Source organism: Homo sapiens, chromosome 12 (assembly GCF_000001405.40).
Source record: "Homo sapiens chromosome 12, GRCh38.p14 Primary Assembly".
Taxonomy (NCBI): domain Eukaryota; kingdom Metazoa; phylum Chordata; class Mammalia; order Primates; family Hominidae; genus Homo; species Homo sapiens.
The window spans coordinates 77,881,108-77,903,174 of NC_000012.12; the positions used below are offsets into that span (position 1 = coordinate 77,881,108).

The 22,067-nt window shown below is 35.7% G+C and overlaps 1 protein-coding gene across 27 annotated transcripts in view, besides 1 other annotated feature; it reads left to right on the top strand.

Moving 5' to 3' along the window:
- Nucleotides 1-22,067, top strand: part of NAV3 (neuron navigator 3) — a 641,149-nt gene that overhangs the window by 309,246 nt on the left and 309,836 nt on the right. The window lies entirely within an intron of this gene.
- Nucleotides 7,318-8,517: an enhancer, noted in NCBI's record as "P300/CBP strongly-dependent group 1 enhancer chr12:78282205-78283404 (GRCh37/hg19 assembly coordinates)". NCBI's record gives its function as "activates an origin of replication core promoter dependent on BRD2, BRD4, P300/CBP, MED14 and CDK7 cofactors, with strong dependence on P300/CBP, by STARR-seq in HCT116 cells {active_cell/tissue: HCT116}" and the evidence as "EXISTENCE:reporter gene assay evidence [ECO:0000049][PMID:35650434]".

Consider the following 22,067-nt stretch of genomic DNA (forward strand, 5'->3'; position numbering starts at 1 on the left):
AATGCCTAGATATGTGTACTTTCTTCTTTCCTGTCACCTTTCCTTTACTTAGTGGATCTCAAACTTGAGTGTGCATGATATAAGAATTTATTATGGATATAACACTTTTTAGTGGAATTTTTACTGTAATGTCTTAGACCTTAGGAACTGTTTTAAGATTGGTCTGTCTCTCTAGCCCACTCTAATACTTGGCTTTCTGTATTTAGAGGTGAAATCCTAGGTCACTATAGTGTTTGCAAATGGCCAGTAGCTCAGCTGAACTTTTCCTTGAACTGTATATCAGGATCAGATTTGATAATCTCTCAGCATTCATAGAAAATAACAGTCAACCTTTTACAGCTTTCCCACTGTGTCACCAAAATTATTTTAAATTATACTTGGTTAAAAAGCTATTCTTCTTGAAAACTGGAACAAGACAAGGATGCCCACTCTCACCACTCCTATTCAGCATATTATTGGAAGTCCTAGTCAGAGCAATTAGTGAACAGAAAGAAATAACAGGCATTCAAATAGGAAAATAAGTCAAACTGTCTTTCTTCCCTGACGATAAGATTTTCTACCTAGAAAACCCTAAGACTCTTCCAAAAGACTCCTAGAACTGGTAAGTGACTTTAGTAAAGTTCAGGATAGAAAGTCAATGTACAAAAATCAGTAGCATTTCTATACACCAATAGCATCCAGGCAGAGAGTCAAATCAAGCACACAATGCCACTTACAATAGCTGTAAAGAAAATGAAATACCTAAGAATACAGCTAACCAAGGTGGTGAACGACTTCTACAAGGATAACTACAAAACACTGCTGAAAGAAATCAGAGATGACACAAATAATTGGGAAAAGATTCCATGCTCATGGATTGGAAGAATCAATAATGTTAAGCTGGCCATACTGCCCAAAGCATTTTAAAGATGCAATGCTATTCCTATCAGACTACGAATGGAATTTTTCATAGAATTAGAAAACAAACTATTCTAAAATTCACATGGAACAAAAAAGTGTCCGGACAGCCAAAGCGATCTCACACGAAAAGAACAAAGCAGAAGGCATCACACTACATGACTTCAAACTACACTCTATGGATACAGTAACCAAAACAGCATGATACTGGTACAATACCAGTTGACAAATAGAGCAATGCAACATAATAGAAAACTCAGAAATAATACTGCATACCTACAACCATGTGATTATCCACAAGGCTGACAAAAACAAGCAGTGGGGAAAGGACTCTCTATTTCAATAAATGGTGCTGGGGTAACTGGCTAGCCATATGCAGAAGAATGAAACAGGACCTTTACCTTTCACCATATACAAAAATTAACTCAAAATGGATTAACGACTTAAATGTAAGGCCTTAAACTATACAAACCCTACAAGAAAACCTAGGAAATACCCTTCCTGACATCAGGCTTTATAAGAATTTCTGGCTAAGTCCCCAAAAGCAATCGCAATAAAAACAAAAATTGACAAGTTGGACCTAATTAAACTAAAGACCTTCTGCACATTGAAAGAAACTATCAACAGAGTAAACAGACAACCTTAGAGCATAGGAGAAAATATTCACAAACTATGTATTCAATGAAGTTCTAATATTTAAAATCTATAAGGAATTTAAACAATTCAACAAACAAAAACAAGTAACTCTATTAAAAATGAGCAAAGGATGTGAACAGATACTTCTCAAAATAAGACATACACTCAACCAATGAACATATGAAAAAATGCTCATCATTGCTCATCATCAGAGAAATGCAAATCAAAAACCCTATGAGACACCCTTTCACATCAGTCAGAATGGCTATTATTAAAAAGTCAAAAAACCACAGGTGCTAGGCTAGTGAGGCAGCAGAGAAAAGGAAATGCTTATACACTGTTGGTAGGAATGTAAATTAGGTCAGCCTCTGTGGAAAGCAGTTTGGAGATTTCTCAAAGAACTTAAAACAGAGCAACCATTTTGACCCAGCAATTCTATTGCTGGTTATACACTCAAAGGAAAATAAATTATTCTACCAAAAAGACACATGCACTCATAAGTTCATCCCCATGCTGTTCACAATAGGAAAGACATAGAGGGAACCTAAGAACACAGAATGTCCATAAACAGTGGATTGGTTAAAGAAAGTACAAATATACACTGTGGAATACTATGCTGCTATAAAAAGAACAAAATCATGTCCTTTGCAGCAACATGTATGCAACTGAAGGCCATTATCCCAAGCAAATTAACACAAGAATGGAAAAGCAAATACCGCATGTTCTCTCTAACTGAGAGCTAAACGTTGAGCACACATGGAGATAACCATGGGAACAATAGACCCTGCTAGACTACTAGATAGGTTAGACAAAGAGGAGGGCAAGGGCTGAAAAACCACACATTGGGTACTATGCTCACTACATGAGTGATGGGTCCATACACAAACCTCAGCATTATGGAATATACACATGTAACAAACCTGCACATGTACTCTCTGTATCTAAAATAAAAGTTGAATTTTTTGAAAAGAAAAAGCCATTTTCTTCTAACGTATTTACTAAATGAGAGAGAGAAAGAGTATGGGAGTGAGAGAGACAGAGTGAGGTGAGAACATGCATACTAACTAGTTATTTCATGATAAAGAGAGTTTTTTCCTCTTTTATCTTGAAGATGGTCTTGTTCCATTGGGTTTTTGCTATCACCAGTTGTTACTCTATTGGTTTTTCTGTTTTTCTTTTATCTTTCAGTTTACCACAGGGAAATTGGAAGTCAGGTGTCCAGATGGAAATCTTTCCTAGAAAAAATGTGATTGTATTTTCCTGACATTATTTTATAAACAAGGCATGAAATGAACTGTATTTGGCCACATGAAATATTTGTTTATATTATCCTGTTATAATTTAAAATAAAGCCACCAATAACCTCTTTGTGAGGTATAGCACCCAACTATAGCTTTGATAGGTGTTTCATTCATTCAAGTAAAGGAAGAAAACCTGGCTCCTAAGTCCTGTTAGTTTATTTAATAACTGGATGATCTTTAGAACGGTGCCTAGAAGCAGTGTCAATTCTTGAAAAATGGTTGTGTTTTAGTTGGGATTCTCCAAAAAGAACCAGTAGAATTGATGGATGGACGGAGGGAAGGAGGGAGGGAATGATGGATGGTTGGATGGATAGACAGATTAGATGATGATTGATTGATTGACAGATAGATTGATAGATAGAAAAGAGGGGATATATCCTGGGAATTCTCTCATGCAAATTATGGAGTCTAAATCCCACAGTAGGATGTCTACAAGCTGGAGGCTCAAAGATACTGGTAGTGTGGCTCAGTCCAAGTCCAAAGGCTCCAGAACCAGGGAAGCTGATGGTGTAGCTTCAGTCTGAAACTAAAGGCCTGAGAATCTGGGGTGCCCTGTTGTAATTCCCTGGAGCCCAAAAGCTGGAGAACCTGGAGTTCTGGTGCCCAATGGCAGAAAAAGGGTGTCCCAGCTACAGCACAGAGAGAGCAAATTTACCCTTCCTTTGCCTTTTGTGTTCTCTCATCCAAACAGGATCTCAGCTGTTGGGATGATGTCCACTTACATTGATGGCGGATCTTCCTTATTCGGTCCCTTAATTCAAAAACCAGTCTCTCCAGAAACATCTTCTCAGACATACCCAGAAAGAATGCTTTTACCAGTTCTCTAGGTATTCCTTAATCCACTCAACTTAACACCTAAAATTCCATCCCAGGTACTCCTGATTATTTCATTGTTTCAGTAATTCTGATGTTCACCGTTAATTTAGTATCACTTAAGAGGAAGGAAAAGAAAGATTGACAATTCCAAATTATTAATGAATTTCTCCCATTTTCAGAAATATTATGAAAATATGTCTTAGAGTAATTTTTGTTAATAATGATGTCAATGATGGATGGAGCATTTCTGGAATCTCATCTTTATTGTTGGAAGAGTCTACATTCATGGAACACAACATCTATCAGGGCTAGTATATAATGTCAAACTTTATGTTACTTGCTTTAAGGTTAATCAGTCTCATCATTTTTTAATCATTTATCTTGAAAGCGAAATTATTCCTATATGGGTTAAGCAATTAAAATGTTAAACTTTTTAGGAGTTAATAAGTATTTTAATACACTGAAATGTGATTGAGTGTCTCTATTTATGTCACAGAGTCACAGAGATGGAAACACTCTTAAAATGTAATGATCTAATTATATGAATTATTAATCTGAAGTCTAAGGAAGCTAAATAGCTTGCCAAAGGTTGTACTGCTGCTTTTTTTCTGCTACTAGTTTTGTATATATGTCTCTTATTTTCAGAAAAAGATAACGATAGCAGTTTCCAATAGTACCTTACGCAGAATAAGTACTCAATAAATGCATGTTGGTTTGTTGCAATAAACACCCACATAAAAATAAAAGTTGTATTGGCCATATATGAAGTTTCTTTGCTTTTTACAGGTTGTATCTGCCCTAAAGGAGTATTTTTGTGAATCAAAAATTTTAAGAAAATGTTCTGATCTTAAATTGGAAGTGACTTCCAGTATTCTTCTAAATTTCTTTACCTATGCCCATTTCCTTCTCTTAGTTTCTCTGTTGAGTAGTTAATGATCTGTTAAGATGCACTTCAATACATTAGAGTGTCCACATTCTTAAAAGAACATTGCTTGAGCAAAATAACCCATTTGAAATTTGAATTATTCGCTGTCTTGCTGCTTAAGATGAGTTTAAATACAACCGGAGACATACCTTCAGTTCTACCATTCTTCTCACCTTTCTTGATAATGGTAGTAACTAAATCTTTCTAATAAGAATAATTTTATTTAAATAAATACAACCTTTTTAGGCAATTCCTCCTCTCCATTAAAAGAAACATAATTTATCTATTTATTTAAGCCAAACAACAAATCTTCAGTTCTCCCCTTGTCTACCTCTATTACCACTGCCCTAGTGTCAATTATTATCATCTCTCTCTAAAGGCACCTTGTTGGTAGTCGATAGTCTCAATCCAGGCTTACTGTCTCCTAACCAATCTTTCAACTGCTGCCTGAGAAATGTAAATCTGACCATTCTGCACCCATATGAATGCTCTCTATAGCCGCAGGGTTAAGCACTACATGGCATATAAAACTACCATGACCTGGTCCTGCATTCAATTACAGCCTCATTTCTCCGCTCTAGTAACATTCAAGGGCTTCTCTTTATACAGCCTGCTGTTTAGTGGTTAAATTATTTCCCTCCAGCTCATTTGAACTCCCATACATTCCCCACTGTCACCACAATGTATGTGTCAGTCTGTATGCTAAACTTAACATGCTAAACAGAATGTACATATGGGTCTAACATGTTGGAATCTAAATCCCTCAAGGATAGGGGCTATCTTGTCTTCATATATGTTCAATAGTTGTAGATTATTTCAATTTAAAATTATAGCAAATTGGTCTTGAATGTCACTTAAGCATTTTGTTGTTTCCACCCCTGGACAACTCATTGTTGAACTCATCTTTCTCAAGGATGTAGATAGAGCCCCCATTTTTTTCCTGATATTCTTGCATTTAACTACCATAGCTTACTGAATAAAAGCAGCTGAATTTGATCCATGTTTAATGTCATTTTCTTAATCTTTCTGGACTTGGATATGCTTTTTAGAAAAATTCTTTTTTTCTTACATAAATATCTAGAACAGTGCCTATCAATAAATAATCATTGAGCTGAAATAAGCTATAATATTGTGGTTCCAATCGGATATTGGTTTATACCCCTCGATTTTAATCATCATAGTCAACTTAAAATGCCTTTGTATGAGATTTTTCAATTGTTTTCATTTAATGTAGTGTGGATTCCAAGCTATATGGGAATGGAACATTCTTTTCCAGGTTAATGGGACTTTGACAACAGTTTTTCATGTTCACTAAACAAACATGAATTAGGTTCCAGGTATAATGTTAGTAGCTAATGATACAAATATTGACCTTGCGTTAGAGAAGAACCCATTCTGGAGAAATAGAGGAACCTCTCACAGTGGCTTTTCAGCATAGGTGCATTTAATTAGGAAATTCAGTGATAGGAGCTGGTAAGAAAGGGAGAGAGTGAGGGTAGACTTAAAGAGAAAATAATATAAATGCTATGAAAAAATTCTGCCCACCATTCCATATAGTTTTGCTCTTTGGTAATCATGAGATGGAAGACTTAGATCCCTTAGTTGGCTTCAATTTCTACACAACTATATAGGGTTGAATCCTTAAAACTACATATCTTCTGCTTCAGTGGGAACTTAGAATTTTCAAGGGAAAATTCAAGTATGAGTACTTATTGCCTTATGTGGTAACTTCAAAACCAGTATCCAGGGAAAGATCGTGACAATATGATTAGGGCTGGGGTTAAGTTTTATTGAAATTCATATTTATTTTTGTGATTATGTGACACTTGTTTTTCTCCACTAGATTATAAACTACATGATAACAAAGGCAATATCTACTTTGTTTATTCTTATGTGATTAGCATTTTGCAAAAGCCCCAAGATTTAATAGAAAATAAATATTTGTTGGATGAGTGGAGTTATTCCACGTTAATCTCCTTTTTCCACTTTGAGAGACTTATTTAGAGAGTGCTAATACTTTTGTGAAATATTTTTAGAGTTTTAAACTAATTCAATATATAAAAATTAATTTAAAAGTAAGTAGTAAACTGTAAAATAACTAAACCTCATTTCATCCACAAAATTCAGTGAAGCTTATAACAAGGTTTTTTAAGATATGAAACATTATCCAACAAAGCAATAAAATTGATGTTATCAGAAATTTTTAAATCATGTTATTGTAATTATGCATTTAATTATTTCAGTTTTTAGATATCTAAGAGGGAAAAAAGAGATAATGGGAATAGATCGAATGTTACAGTGGCAAACAATAAAGCGTATCTAAAGACACAAAAGTTGTTGAGTTTTTTTTTTCTGGAATGAATTCCTTAAGTGCTTTCTGGTCATGGTTCCTTAAATGAGGAATATGCGGTAAAATATGATGATTTTAACCATGGGTTTGCAAAAGATTTAGGAAGGTTATTTAAATGTACATTTTAAACCCATACTCTAACTAAAGTGGTTATCATTGTATACAATTATCCAAATAGGCCAAGCATGGTGGCTCATGCCTGTAATCCCAAGGAGGTAGAGGCAGGGGGATTACTTGAGACCAGGAGTTTGAGACTCAACTGAGACCCCCATCTCTACAAAGAAATAAATAAAAATTAGCCTGACATAGTAGCATGTGACTATAGTCCCAGCTACTGGGGAGGTTGAAGCAGGAGGATTGTTTTGGCCTAGGAGGTCAAGACTGCAGTGAGCCGCGATCATGTCACTGCACTCCAGCCTGGACAGCACAGCAAGACCCTGTTTTAAAAATTAACCAATTAAATAATTAAATAATTTCTGCAGTGAGCTTAATGGCTGATTTTGTTTTTGAAATACTTTATCTTAATACAGTAAGACAAAGTAATGAAGAGAAGCATAAGTTAATAGCCTCATTAAGTTTTGCCCTCAAATGTTATGTCCCAAGTAAGTCTTTGGGTTGGAGTCAATTCCTGGTTGAATTATCTAATATGTATCCAAAGATCCTATAGTTTATGCTGATTAAGAATGACCTGTATGTATTAAGCATTGTGTATGTGGGATGTGGAATTGGCATGAGTCACTGAATGTTCTAAGTCTTCAAATGTTTTTATCTTTGTTTTCTCAGAGAGGTGAGTCATATGTGTGTGACTGTGGATAGGACCGGTGTTCTTCTGCTCAATAACATACATACTCAGGGGGAACTCCATCTTGTTCTATATAATATGGACAAGTGATTTCTTGAAAAAAATTTTAGGACAGATTTGGTCAATTGAGTGTTTTAATCTCAGAATAACCTCAATGCCCTCCAAACCTGCATCTGCTGGGCCCAGCATGATGGTTAGCATCCACCTTTTGTGTGGTGCAATGGTTTATTTTATGTGTCAACTTGACTGGACAATGGAGTGCCAAGACTTTTGGTCAAACATTATTTTGGGTGTGTATATGAAGGCGTCTGGATGAGATTAACATTTAAATCAGTAGACTGAATAAAGCAGATTGCCCTCCCTATTATTGGTGGGCCTCATCCAATCAATTGAAGATCCAAGTAAAACAAAAATGCTGATTAAGAGGGAACTTTACCTGCCTGACTACTTGAGCTGAGACATCAGTCTTCTGTCCTGGGACTGCAGCTTGCACCATCAGCTCTCCTGCTTCTCATGCTCTCAGACTTGGACTGGAACTACACCACCATCTTTCCTGAGTCTCTAGCTTGCTGGCTACAGATCTTGGGCCTTTTCAGCCTTCATAATTAGTTCTGTTTCTCTCGCAAACCATGAGTAATATAGGTAGACATATCTATGGCTGAAATACTGGACAATTAATGGAAATGTGACTATTTTAACTACTCTAAGTTAATTCAATAATAACTCAGTAAATATTATTTTACTTTGCAATGATTCATGTTATACTGAACTCTATAAGTTGTTATGTTGAACATAAAATAAAGTACTTTATCATTCATATTCATGACTTTTCTGTTTAGGATTAATGGTATTAAATAGTTGAAACAGTTGTTAGTAGAGATGTAAATTAATTAATAACTTTAGGTTTTTCTCAATATCACTCTGAAGTACAATTTATATGTATAGTGTGAAAGAAGATACTAGTTGAAGACTAGCATATTTTAGCATAAGAAAATATGTCCAATGGTTATGATGTTCTTATGCATCTGGTATATTTTTCAGGGTATACATAGATCAGCCGTTATAAGTTTGAACTCTGTATAAGTACATACAGTAGTTATCATTCTTGGCCTATAGCTATCTGAAGTCCAACTGGAATAACCAGTCAAAACTGACACCAAAACCAGTAGGTGAGGGAAATAACACAAAAACCAGTAGGTGAGGGAAACCTAAGAAGCTGAACTGAATTCTCGAATTATATCTTATGTTAGTCTCATAAAGCTTTATTTTATAAATTATTCTTATAAACAAACTATAATTCAAATTGAATCAAGTCTCAGTTCTCAGTTGATCACTGCAAACTCCGCTCCACAGCTCAAGCAGTCTTTCTACCTCAGCCTCCCAAGTAGCTGAGACGACAGGTGCCTGCCTGTCACTATGTCTGGCTTTTTATTTTTATTTTTATTTATTTTTTGTATTTTTAGTAGAGATGGGGTTTCACCCTGTTGCCCAGGCTGGTCTCAAACTCCTTAGCTCAAGCAATCCCCTCACCTCTGCCTCCCAAAGTGCTGGGATTACAGGCATGAACCACTGTACCAGCCTCAGTTGAATTTTTTGATGAATGCATTTCCTGAGGACTCTGCTATTAGCAACATATTTTCATTTCTTTAATTGTAAATGAATTATGAAATAAATATGATAAATACAATATTTATATGTTAGCTTGTATTTGCTTCCTACATGGTTATCAATAGTTGTTTCCATGTCTATTTCTTACCTTTCTTTAAAAATGTAGTGAGAACCTCTGTTTTTACTTTGATATTTTTACGATTCTTCATCGAGTAAATGCCTGCTCTATATTGACTCAGAAAAATATCCAGAAATTACAATATAACAACTATAAAATTAGAATTTAAAGTATGTAGATGGCTTCTTACACAAAGTAGTTACTTCACAATAAGTATTCATTGAATATGTGTAAACATCTCACACAGCTATCTGTAAACTCTGCAGGAAAGCTGCACGAGTTCTCCTGAAAGTAAATTCAAGTTACAGCAACATCTGAAATGCCTATAATGTTGCAGAAACTAGTTCAAAGAGAGGAATCATACACAATGTTCTAATATGATAAATGATTTCATAATTTAGACAAAAGGTAATTCTCCAAAGCAGACTGTGATTAGTCAAATATTTTCCATCCTTTTTTTTTAAGTAAGATTATCCCATTTCATAAATAGGACTCCCTGTTAATTTAGCATTCATGATGAAATATTAGAAGTTTTTCTTGGTATTCCTGTCTTAAATGTTGACAAATAAAACAAACTCAAATAACAAAATAATTTAAATTAAATATAATTTTCCCAGTAATTTAGGTAGGGCCTTTTGTATCTATGCTGTGATTTAATATCAATTTATAAAGATAAATTTATAAAGATAAATACATTTATAAAGATAAATTTATAAAGATAATATAATTTAATATAAATTTATAAAGATAAATTTATAAAGATAATATAATTTAATATAAATTTATAAAGATTACTTCAATACTAACTCAGTAAATGTTTCTATGGTGAGCATCTTTTTCATATTATGTTGAACCCAAAATATCCTCAAAAGTGCCTTGTCTTTATATCTCTTTGTTTATATCTTCTGCAGATAAATATATGTAGTCTTTTTGGACAGGTGGCCATTTCACTTATTCTCAAATCCAGATTTTTTTTCAGTACTTTTAAATAACGTTCCAGTCCTATTATTTATGACTTGATACATGTTTTTGAACAGCAACAACCTAAGTTAAAGTGACTTTAAAAAATGTACTCGGTCATAGAAATCACAGACAGGGCTAATAACTTAACAAACACTGTTTAGTGAAACTGAAGCTTAGAGAGTTTAAGGACTTGTACATGACCCCAAAGCCAGCAGCTGCAGAGACGGCTTTAAAGTCTTGCTTTCCAGTGTAATGCTTTTCTGTGTTACACTCTGCTGCCTTCCAGAGAAGAACCACTCATCTTAAGTGCTGGCTCCCTTGTCCATTTATTTTATCCTACCTGGAAGGTGTCATTGAACCCTTCATTCTCTCCCTTCTTTGCCCCAGGACCAACAGCCTTGCAGGTGTGGTTCCTCAGCCACTGGTCTAGTAGAAGCCTGTGGGGAGGGAAGTCATTTCTGTACTCTTTGTCAGTTTCATGGGTTTAGAGAAATTGACCTACACAGAAATTTTTCAAACTTATTTGACATGGAACACTTTTTATAATTATTTTTGTCAGATTCTCATATTGAAAAGATACTCACAGGTAATCTGTGGAAATAATTCAAACTGACATTAAAATAGAAAGCAAATGCACTCATAAATTTATTAATTGCTGAAATAAATGATCAAAGATTGACTTATGTTTATTGTGCAATAAAGATGTTGAAGTTGTAAGACAGGGTCCATGATATAGTTGTAATCATTGAGTAGAAACATTCAATGCAAAAGTGAATTGGCAAATGTTGTCTATATTTTCTTGCTGATGGAAAATTATTTATTTGTGCATTAGGTGATCACCAAGGGTTTCCTCAAATTCATAGAGGGGGCAAGCCCTAAAATTAGACCATTTGAATTTTTTTTTTTTTTTTAGACAGAATCTTGCTCTGTCACCCATACTGGAGTGCAGTGGCATGATCTCAGCTCACTGCAGTCTCCGCCTCCTGTGTTCAAGCAATTCTCCTGCCTCAGCCTCCTGAGTAGCTGGGACTACAGGTGCATGGCACAACACCTGGCTAATTTTTTGTATTTTTAGTCAAGATGGGGTTTCACGGTGTTAGCCGGGATGGTCTCAATCTCCTGACCTTGTGATCCACCCACCTTGGCCTCTCAACGTGCTGGGATTACAGGCGTGAGCCACTGCGCCCGGCCCAACTATCTGAATTTTATTTCAGCATTTCCATTTACTGGCTGTAGATTTTGAGAAAATTATTTGAACCTATTAAACGTCATTTCCTTGATCTCAAAATTATAATGATGAGGATAAAATATACGCAAAGTGCTTAGTGTGGTACCTGGTAAAAAGTGATAAATTTATGTTGGCTATTAAAAGGGAAAAGAAAATAGAAGCCATAATTGTTGGTGGGTAACTAATTTTGATATTAGTTAAGTGAAGTAGCATTACTATAAATTACGAGTTTCATGAGATTCCTTCTGTGCCATTGAGTGACACCTGTTAACATCTCACTGGATGTTAGGTTTCTGAAGAACATGGGTTTGGATGGACTGAATTAGTTATAAGAATTTCCTCTATCTCTAATTGTAGGATTTTTACTTGCATAGCATGTAAAGGATCTTTATAAATATAAAATAGGATGCAAAGAAACAAAAAGGAATCAAAGAAGGAAAATTTGAATTTTTAACAACCTCAGGAATGAGGTAGATAACCAACTACAGTTACATTATGCTGTAAATTTTCTAATCACAAAGTTTATAGAGGGCACATTCTATCAAAGCAAACCATTTCTTTGAAGTTTACTGGTAAGTCAGTAACAGTAACTGACCAATATGCTATGCTGACTAATATGAAGTTTTTTCTCAAGCATAAAACTGAGAGAAGGGATTGAGATTGTTAAACAAAAGACACAGTTGAAGCTTATAATACTAATGTATTGATATTAGAGTTGAAATGCATAGAATATTTATATTGACATTGTCATGTCTGTATATTGATACATGGCATCTTATTAAAAATGAATTGATTAAAAAGAAAGTTTATTAATGAAAAAACTCAGATAGCCAAACTAAAAAAAAAAAAGAAAACTTGGGGGGATTGTAATTGTACGCCAGCTTATTCTGACTTTCAAGGATGAGTTTTACTCAAAGACAAAAATCAAGAATAGTAAGTAGAATTAGTTGGCAAGAATAATACCTTACTCGAATGAGGCTTTGGAACAGTGACTACAGCAACTTCCATGTAGAATTTTTCCAGTGGTGGTTAAATCAAAGGAAGGCAAGAGCCAGAGAAATATCTTCAAGTTGCTCTAAGAATTTTTGTTTAATTGTTGATGTTAAAACTACAAGTGTACTACTTATATATTGCTCTCCTCTATCGAGTTACACTAACTTATTCCAAGAAAACTAAAGCCCAAAGTGTATTCATTTTCAGCAGAAAATACCAAGGATGACACAGGACAAGTTATTTTTGCCTTTCAGTGAGGTTACCTTCCTCTAATTTACTCCTTGACCCTTACCTGGTTTCCTCTTTCAAATGCATAGTTTGATCTACTGAATTCCAGAACTTCAGCTTCCTCCTTACCTCCTGACTTCCAGAAACTACAGCAGATGGACTTTGGTTTGTTGATGTTGGAACTTTGCCCAGCACTTGCCCAGATCTTTTGCCAATTGACTAACAAGATAGTGTTGTTGTCACCACCCCCCACCCCAGCATGACAATTATGAACATAACCTAGAGAGATTTCTATCCCCAAAATAAGATTACAAATAAAGTTTATAACCCAAGATAAAGGTTAGAGAAAATGTACATCTGTTATTATAGTCTTTAAATCTTGGTCAAAGTGATATTTCATGTTAATATAAACATTTTAATAATTTAGATTTGCAAAATGTAATAATTTAGATTTGCAAAATAAGCCAGAAATCTGGAATTTTATGTAAAAGTTTCGAGTTTAAAAAACAACAATAAGCTACCCATAATAACAACATGAGAGAGAAACTTGATTAATAGAAAGAACCAAATTATCGAGATTTGATTACTTTAACCAACCCTCACTAGGCCACCAGCAAAATTAGAAAGAACTAGCCAGTAGCTACCACAGAAGTTGCAAACTCAAATAAATGTCTATGAAGATAAGACAAGATCCCTATTTTGAATAAGAGTAAATGAGTGAAAAGCGCTGAGTAGAAGCAACAGAATGTGGTAGGGAGAGTTGGGTAACTGAAGAGTACAGGCTCTGTATGAAAGGGAAAGCTCCCGCTCATTGCTGACATGCAAGAATGTGGACTCAGTGTAGACAGATCTCATTTCTCAAAATAAGCCAGAAACCTGGAATTTTATGTAAAAGTTTCAAGTTTAAAAAACTGGCTAAAATCTTTTTGAAACACTGTGCTTGCCAAATACAGCATCTTTGGAGAGCTTCATCCAGTTCACTACTGTGCTCTAGCAGATATTCCTCCGGTATCCCTATTTTCTTGACTTCAAATGCCCCCATCTGCAGAGGAGTAACTTATTAAAATATTAGTAACTTAAAGCACATTCAAAAGAGATGTGTGATGATGAGATCTGAAAGAAGAAAGAGAGATAGAAAAAGGACAGGAGTGTTTCTTGAAAAAAAAAATTCTCACAGATTCACCTAACATAGACTTTGCATTCCTATGACCCTACTGACAGAAATGCAGATATTCAATATGAATAGAGTAATCAACAAAGGAAGATAGAAGGTCAACAGAAAATTAATTGCTATTCTGTCAAAGGACATTTTAATTTTAAAATAGGTTTAGAATGATTGTGTGTGTGTGTGTGTGTGTGTGTGTGTTTATTTTGTGGGGAGGAGGAAGGTGGAGAATAGCAGATTGTGGGTGATATAATTTGTAAAACTTGCTGGCCAGCCATCTCATGGTAAACAAGAAAGGAAACATTATTTGAGTTTTGGGCATGCAGCAAGATATAAAACTTAGAATCTACTCTCCAAATAAAAGCTAAGTGTGATGATTAGAACCTGCCTTTTTATTATTTTTGCTTTGATTTTATGTTAATATTCTCAGTAGTTCTCTAATTGGAAACTTTTACCCCTGAGCTATGTATAAAACATGCTAAGTTTTGTATTTTCTTAAATATTTAAAAGTATCTGCATTAAATAGTTATCATGACTGTTTCAAATCTGTTTTCCTTCAATGCTACCCCATCCTCTACTACCACATATATGTACCCTCTTGTTTTTTTTTTTTTTTTAATCCTGTCTGGAAACATTTACCCAAATGTTCCTTTTTAAACAAAATACACAGATCTGATAAAAGGTGTCATGTTTCCCAGTCCTTTTCAAAGAACTCATATAAAAGTATAAATTATAATTTATAACCACTGACAGGGGGATCTAATTATATTCTAGCCTTTTATGGCCATTTAGACTGCCTTTTGATCTCAATTTCCAGTAAAAAAAAAAAAAAAAAAAAAAAAGAGGAACTCTTTTATGCTATTTTTAAGACAGTGAAAATCTTTTACAAAAATGAGAAAGTGCCAATGTTAGAAAATTAATGAATTAAACAATATAGTAAGGATGTATTTTTAATTTAATCACATCTAATACCACTAACCACAATCATTTTCAAGAGACAGATCGCTACTACCTTATCCTCTGGTTTAATTGTCAGGCCACAGAATTAACCTAAAGATTAACAGTGAACTCTGAAGTTCACTGTAAGTCGATATAGTAAGATAGCTCATGGGTCTGCCTGCACATCATAACCAGTTTCATAGTGAAAATATTAATGTAACAAAACAGGATACCACAAAAGGATCCCAAACTAGGGCTCTTAATTCTGATCCTCTGTTTTCCTTAGATGTGTTTTACATTAGAGATTCAAATTCACAGTATTATATCTCAGACTTTGTCTTAGGTACTAGAAATTGAGAGGTGGATAAGACCAGGTGTTACAAAGTCAAAAATTTAAAGAGTATTGGCAGGTAAATATAAATAATTGATGTGGAAAAAAGTATAGAATATGATCCAACTTGGTCTATATTTGTTCCTTCTTAATTTTGACAAAGACATGGGGGAATATGGAAAAATATTTCTCTACTAAACAAATGAACATAACAATTGCATTATGAATAGCAAATGGTCTCTGCCTCTATCAGGGATTTACTTAGCAGTGAAGGTGGCTATGGAGAAGTGGAGGGAACACGCTTCCTCTAAAGGGGTAACTCTCACTCAGCTCCAGTTGATGGTTGCCAGGTAGAACTTCAAGCTGCTCAATGCCAGCTGTCCTAAGTATTTTAGGAGAGCCAGGAAACCCAATTTTGATGTGAAACCCTTGCTTTTTCCATGTAGACTTTAAACTGTCTGGGCCAAACAGAGCAAAGCTTTAGGTCATGGCCTGTGGGAGGTAGATGAACAGCCACAAAAGATCTACATCAGACTCTTCAATCCCTCACCCTTCTGTACCTCCCTGATCAAAGTGTGGTCTGTTGACCAGAGGCATGGGCATCACCTGAGAGCTTGTTAAAAATATCGAATCTCAGATCCTGCTCCAGACCTGGTGAAACACAATCTGCATTTGAACAAGCCCACACATGATTTGTAGTCTCATAATATATTTGACAAGCACCAGTCTAGGAAGGCATCTAGAGGAAGAAATTGATTTTTCTCCAAAGACCATGACTTTTAAATCTTCCCTGGTGATTTTCTATTGTGATTTCCCATGTCCACTGTTGACTATATCGTGAATACTTGGTCCGTTTTGGAAATCAGCAAATCTTAATTCTCATGGAAGTAAATCTTTGGTACCTGCTACCAGCAGTTTCAGTAAATGATTAGTGCACACTAGCACACATATCACATGCCTCCTTTCATGCGATAGCTTTGAATATTGACTGGCATTTTCCATGTAATCCTAGAACTCTGACCCCATTCTCTTTTGCCCTTTCACCTCATCTCTGCTTTTTGATATTTCCTATATCCATGAACAAAGAGGTCTTTTCCTTGCCAGACCTTGGTTGTACTTCTGTTGGCTTCAGTTTCAAGTAACTTCACAGCAGTTTGAATTGCAAGCTGGTAAGCTGTCCTAGGCTTCATACTTATCTGGCTCCTGTGGCTCCCTCTTTGACTTATTTCTCCATGAGTTGTACCTATAGTCTCTATTGGCCAATCCTGGGCTCCTATTTTGTCTTTTTTTTTTTTCTTTTTCTTTTAGGGGTGGGGATTGTTGGCAGATGTTTGTGGGAGTATATATCTGTAATATGTCTTTATTCATTGGCATGCTTGCTACCCAAAGCATTGTGAGAATTGCTACCACACTAAAGAAGCCTCAAGAGTGTGTATCTTTGTATTTACCATGGATTCTACTCTTGTTAAATGCAACTTCCAATCTCATAGTCTTTTGTTTCTTCACAGCTCTGCCTCCGAGTGGTTGGCCTCCCAGCTAAACTCACGCTGGATGACTTTAGGTCACAAGGAGTTTTCCTTTTAAGCACCTATATTTGTTTGATGATTTGCTGCTTTTTTATTTTCACTTCATTTGTTTCTTATAACCATTACAGATTATTTTTATTCACATTTTATAGAAGAAAATGAGATGATTATGGAAATTAACTACCTAGACGAATATCACACACACTTGAACAAACACTAGATTTTTGGCATTTGGTATTTTTTATATTATATCATGATTTCCGTCCCAACCATCAGAAAGCCTCTAATAATACATTTGCATTTCATTTCGTTTTAAATATCATCGAACTTGTCAAACATTATAAGTTTTTATCACAGACTTAAGTATATTTAAAACATATTTCAAATTGGCAAAAATGTAGTATATAATACATGATCCTACTATATTTACAATAAGAGAAAATGAATAAATTTTGGAGTGAATATATAGACGCAAACAAATTGAAATAAGGTATTGAACATTTTTCAGAAAAAAATAAACTTGATGAAGATGTAGGCCACTTTAATTTAAGTAAATAATTGAAAGAATTAAAAAGTGTTCGTATTCATTCAGCAACTATTGATTGTGTCCCTTCAGTATTATTCACTGTTTTAGGCAAAGTATGTGATCAGTGGAAGATGATAAACATAGGCCTCCTGACATCATGGGTTGAGGAACACAGATAAAATCAACATAATTTCCTGTCAAAATGGTTGTCCGTTCTATAAGTAATAATCATTATAATTTTCTAAAACGTGGACAAATATAGATGAGCTTACTATAGCTTTCAAGACTTTCAACTCTCACTCTAAGAAATACATTTCATAAGTCTAGAGCTGCCATAGTGATTCCTCTGATGGATCTGAGCAGAGTAAATTGAAAACCTTCTGGAAAGGATTCACCATTATAGATGTCAAAGGGCATTCGTGATTCATGAAAGGATGTCAAAATGTTAATATTAACAGGAGTTTGGAAGAAGTTGTTTCTAACTATTATGGATGACTTGAAGGGGCTCATGACCCACCATGGGAAGTAACTGCTGATGTGGTAGGAATAGCAAGAGCAAGAGAACTGAAATCAGAAGTGGAGCCTGAAGATATGACTGACCTGCTGCAACCTCATGATAACACTTGAACAGATGAGGAGTTGCTTCTTATGGAGGAACAAAGAAAGTGGTTTCTATTCTTGAGATAGAATCTACTTTTGGTAAAGATGCTGTAAACATTGTTGAAATGACAAAAAGGATTTACAGTATTATATAACTTAGTTGATAAAGCAGCAGCAGAGTTTGAAAGGATTGGGTCTAATTTTCAAAGAAGTTCTATTGTGGGTAAAATGCTATCCAACAGCATTGCATGCTGCAGAGAACTCTTTCATGAAAGTCAGTTGATGCAGCAAATTTCACTGTCATCTTACTTAAATTGCCACAGTCACCCCAATTTCATCAACCACCACCCTGATCAATCGGCAGCTGTTGACCTTGAGAAAAGACTTCCAACCAGCAAGAAGATTACAATTCCCTGAAGCCTCAGATGATTGTTAGCACTGTTAAGCAATAAGGTATTTGTAATTAAGGTATGCACATTACATTTTTAGACGTAATACTCATGCACACTTAATAGACTACAGTATAGTACAAACATAACTTTTACATGAGGTAGAAAACTAAAAATTGTGTGACTTGCTTTATTGCACTATTTGGTTTAATGTAGTGTTCTGGAATGGAACGTGCAATATCTCCAAGGTGTTCCTGTATCTAAATAATAAAATGAGGCATATTTTACATGTCCGGAATTTAAAAGTTTGTATGCCTTTTTCAAAAAATAAAGCGTTAATTCACTAGCTATGAGAAACCCATCATTTAACCAACTTAATATCTATTAGTAATACATATTTCTTTTTTCCTTAATGCGCTAGCACTTTATTTATTAATCGTTTTAATTTTAGATTCAGGAGGTACATGTGCACGCTTGTTACATGGGTATATTGTGTGAGGCTGAGGTTTGGGGCACCAATGATCCTGTCCCCCAGACAGTGAGAATAGTATCCAACAGGAAATTTTTCATCTCTTGCCCCTGTCCCTCTCTCCTCTCTCTAGTGGTCCTCAGTGTCATTGTTCTCAATTTTTTTTTTTTTTTTTTTGAGTTGGAGTCTCACTCTTTCGCCCAGGCTGGAGTGCAGTGGCACGATCTCGGCTCACTGCAACCTCCGCCTTCTGGGTTCACGCCATTCTCCTGCCTCAGCCTCCCGAGTAGCTGGGACTACAGGCGCCCGCCACCACGCCCAGCTAATTTTTTGTATTTTTAGTAGAGACAGGGTTTCACCATGTTAGCCAGGATGGTCTCGATCTCCTGACCTCATGATCTGCCCGCCTTGGCCTCCCAAAGTGCTGGGATTACTGGCATGAGCTACCACACCTGGCCTGTTCTCATCTTTGTATCCATGTGTACTCAGTGCTTAGCTCCCACTCATAAGGAGGACATGCAGTCTTTTTCTGTTCCTGCATTAATTCACTTAGGATAATGGCCTCCAGATGCATCCATGTTACAACTAAGTAGATGATTTCATTATTTTTTATGGCTGCATAGTATTCCATGGCGTGTGCACATGCACACGCGTATGTGTGTGTGTGTGTGTATTATATTTTCTTTATCCAGTCTACCATTTATGGTCTTCTAAGTTGATTCCATGTCTGTTATTGTGAATAGTGCTGCGATTAACATACAAGAGCATATGTCTTTTGGTTGAATAATTTATGTTCCTTTGGTTATATAACCAGTAATGAGATTGCTGGGTCAAATAAATGGTAGTTCTCTTTTAAGTTCTTTGAGAAATCTCCAAACTGCTTTCCACGGGGTCACCCACCAAGAGTGTATAAGCATTTATATTCTTACCAAGAATGTATAAGCATTCCCTTTTCTCTGCAGCCTTGCTAGCATCTGTAGTTTGTTGACTTTTTCATAATAGCCATTCTGGCTGGTTTGAGATGGTATCTTATAGTGGCCTTGATTTACATTTCTCTGATGATTAGTGAGGTGGAACATTTTTTCATGTTTGTTGGCCCCTTGTATGTCCATTTTGCGAAGTATCTGTTCATGTCCTTTGCCAACTTTTTAATGAGGTTATTTGTTGTTTGCTTTGATTAAGTTCCTTACAGATTCTGGATATTAGGCCTTTGTTGGATGCACAGTTTGAGAATATTTTCTCCCATTTTATAGATTGCGTATTTACTCTATTGATAGTTTCTTCTGCTCTGCAGAAGCTCTTTAGTTTAAGTAGGTCCCACTTGTCAATTTTTGTTTTTGTTGCAATTGCTTTTGAGGACTTAGTCATAAATTATTTCCCAAGGCCAATATCAAAAACTGTATTTCCTAAATTTTCTTCTAGGATTCTTAGAGTTTGAGTTCTTACAAGTATATCTTTAATCCACCTTGAGTTGATTTTTGTATACGGTGAAAGGTAGGCACAGGTTTCAGGCCAGGTGTGGTGGCTCACGCCTGGAATCCCAGCACTTTGAGAGGCTGAGGCGGGTGGATCACCTGAGGTTACGAGTTTGAGACCAGCCTGGCCAACATGGTGAAACCCCATCGCTACTAAAAATACAAAAATTAACCAGGCGTGGTGACAGGTGCCTGTAATCCCAGCCACTTGGGAGGCTGAGGCACGAGAATCACTTGAACGCAGGAGGCAGAGATTGCAGTGAACTGAGATCGCACCACCGCCAGCCTGGGCAACAGGGTGAGACTCTGTTTCAAAAAAAGAAAAAAAGAAAAGAAAGGTAAGGGTCCAGTTTCATTCTTCTTCGTATGGCCCATGGCTGCCTGTTGATACCAGTCTCAGCTGAGCTACTTTGGCTCCTCAAAGAGGAGGCATCTCTTCCTCATTAGTTTCTGTTTGGAGTCCCCAAATTTGCTTGGATATGCAGCTCTGAGATGCCCCAGTACTGTTTTTCCGGGTAACATGTTAGGGGTGACCTTTGGATGTAACAATAGTTGTCCACCATATGTATATGCTTAATAGTACTTGGGGAAGAAGATATAGGAATTTAATAAGTGATTTTCTCAAAATTGTCTCTACCTTTACCTCTGAAACTAGTGATATATATACATAATTTTCATATCTGACATTAAATTTTAATTATAATATGTTGTTTGCAAAAATTATCTCCTGAAACTTTAGTTGTCGAGTTATTTTATTGGTAGTGGAACATCTCTTAATTATCTCTCTTACTTAATCATCTGTAATCAGGATGCTACTTTGCCGGAAATTGGTTTCTAGACTCATTGTTTTCACTCTGTGAATTGTTCAGTTCCATCAAAGCAGGGGTTTGACTGGCTGACCAGCCATTTCATAGAAAGAACTATTTTGTTTTTTAATGTTGTGTAAACAGACCATGATTTTGAAACTGAGCCTATGAAAAATACAGTAAAGAGATACATCCCATCAATACCTAATTTATTGAGAGTTTTCAGCATGAAGTGTTGTTGAATTTTGTCAAAGGCCTTTTCTGCATCTATTGAGACAATCATGCGGTTTTTGTCATTGGTTCTGTTTATATGCTGGATTAACCCACAGCCAATATCATACTGAATGGGCAAAAACTGGAAGCATTCCCTTTGAAAACTGGCACAAGACAGGGATGCCCTCTCTCACCACTCCTATTCAACATAGTGTTGGAAGTTCTGGCCAGGGCAATCAGGCAGGAGAAGGAAATAAAGGGTATTCAATTAGGAAAAGAGGAAGTCAAATTGTCCCTGTTTGCAGATGACATGATTGTATATCTAGAAAACCCCATCGTCTCAGCCCAAAATCTCCTTAAGCTGATAGACAACTTCAGCAAAATCTCAGGATACAAAATCAATGTGCAAAAATCACAAGCATTCTTATACACCAATAGCAGACAAACAGAGAGCCAAATCATGAGTGAACTCCCATTCACAATTGCTTCAAAGAGAATAAAATACCTAGGAATCCAACTTTCAAGGGATGTGAAGGAACTCTTCAAGGAGAACTATAAACCACTGCCCAATGAAATAAAAGAGGATACAAACAAATGGAAGCACATTCCATGCTCATGGGTAGGAAGAATCAATATCGTGAAAATGGCCATACTGCCCCAGGTAATTTATAGATTCAATGCCATCCCCATCAAGCTACCAATGACTTTCTTCACAGAATTGGAAAAAACTACTTTAAAGTTCATATGGAACCAAAACAGAGCC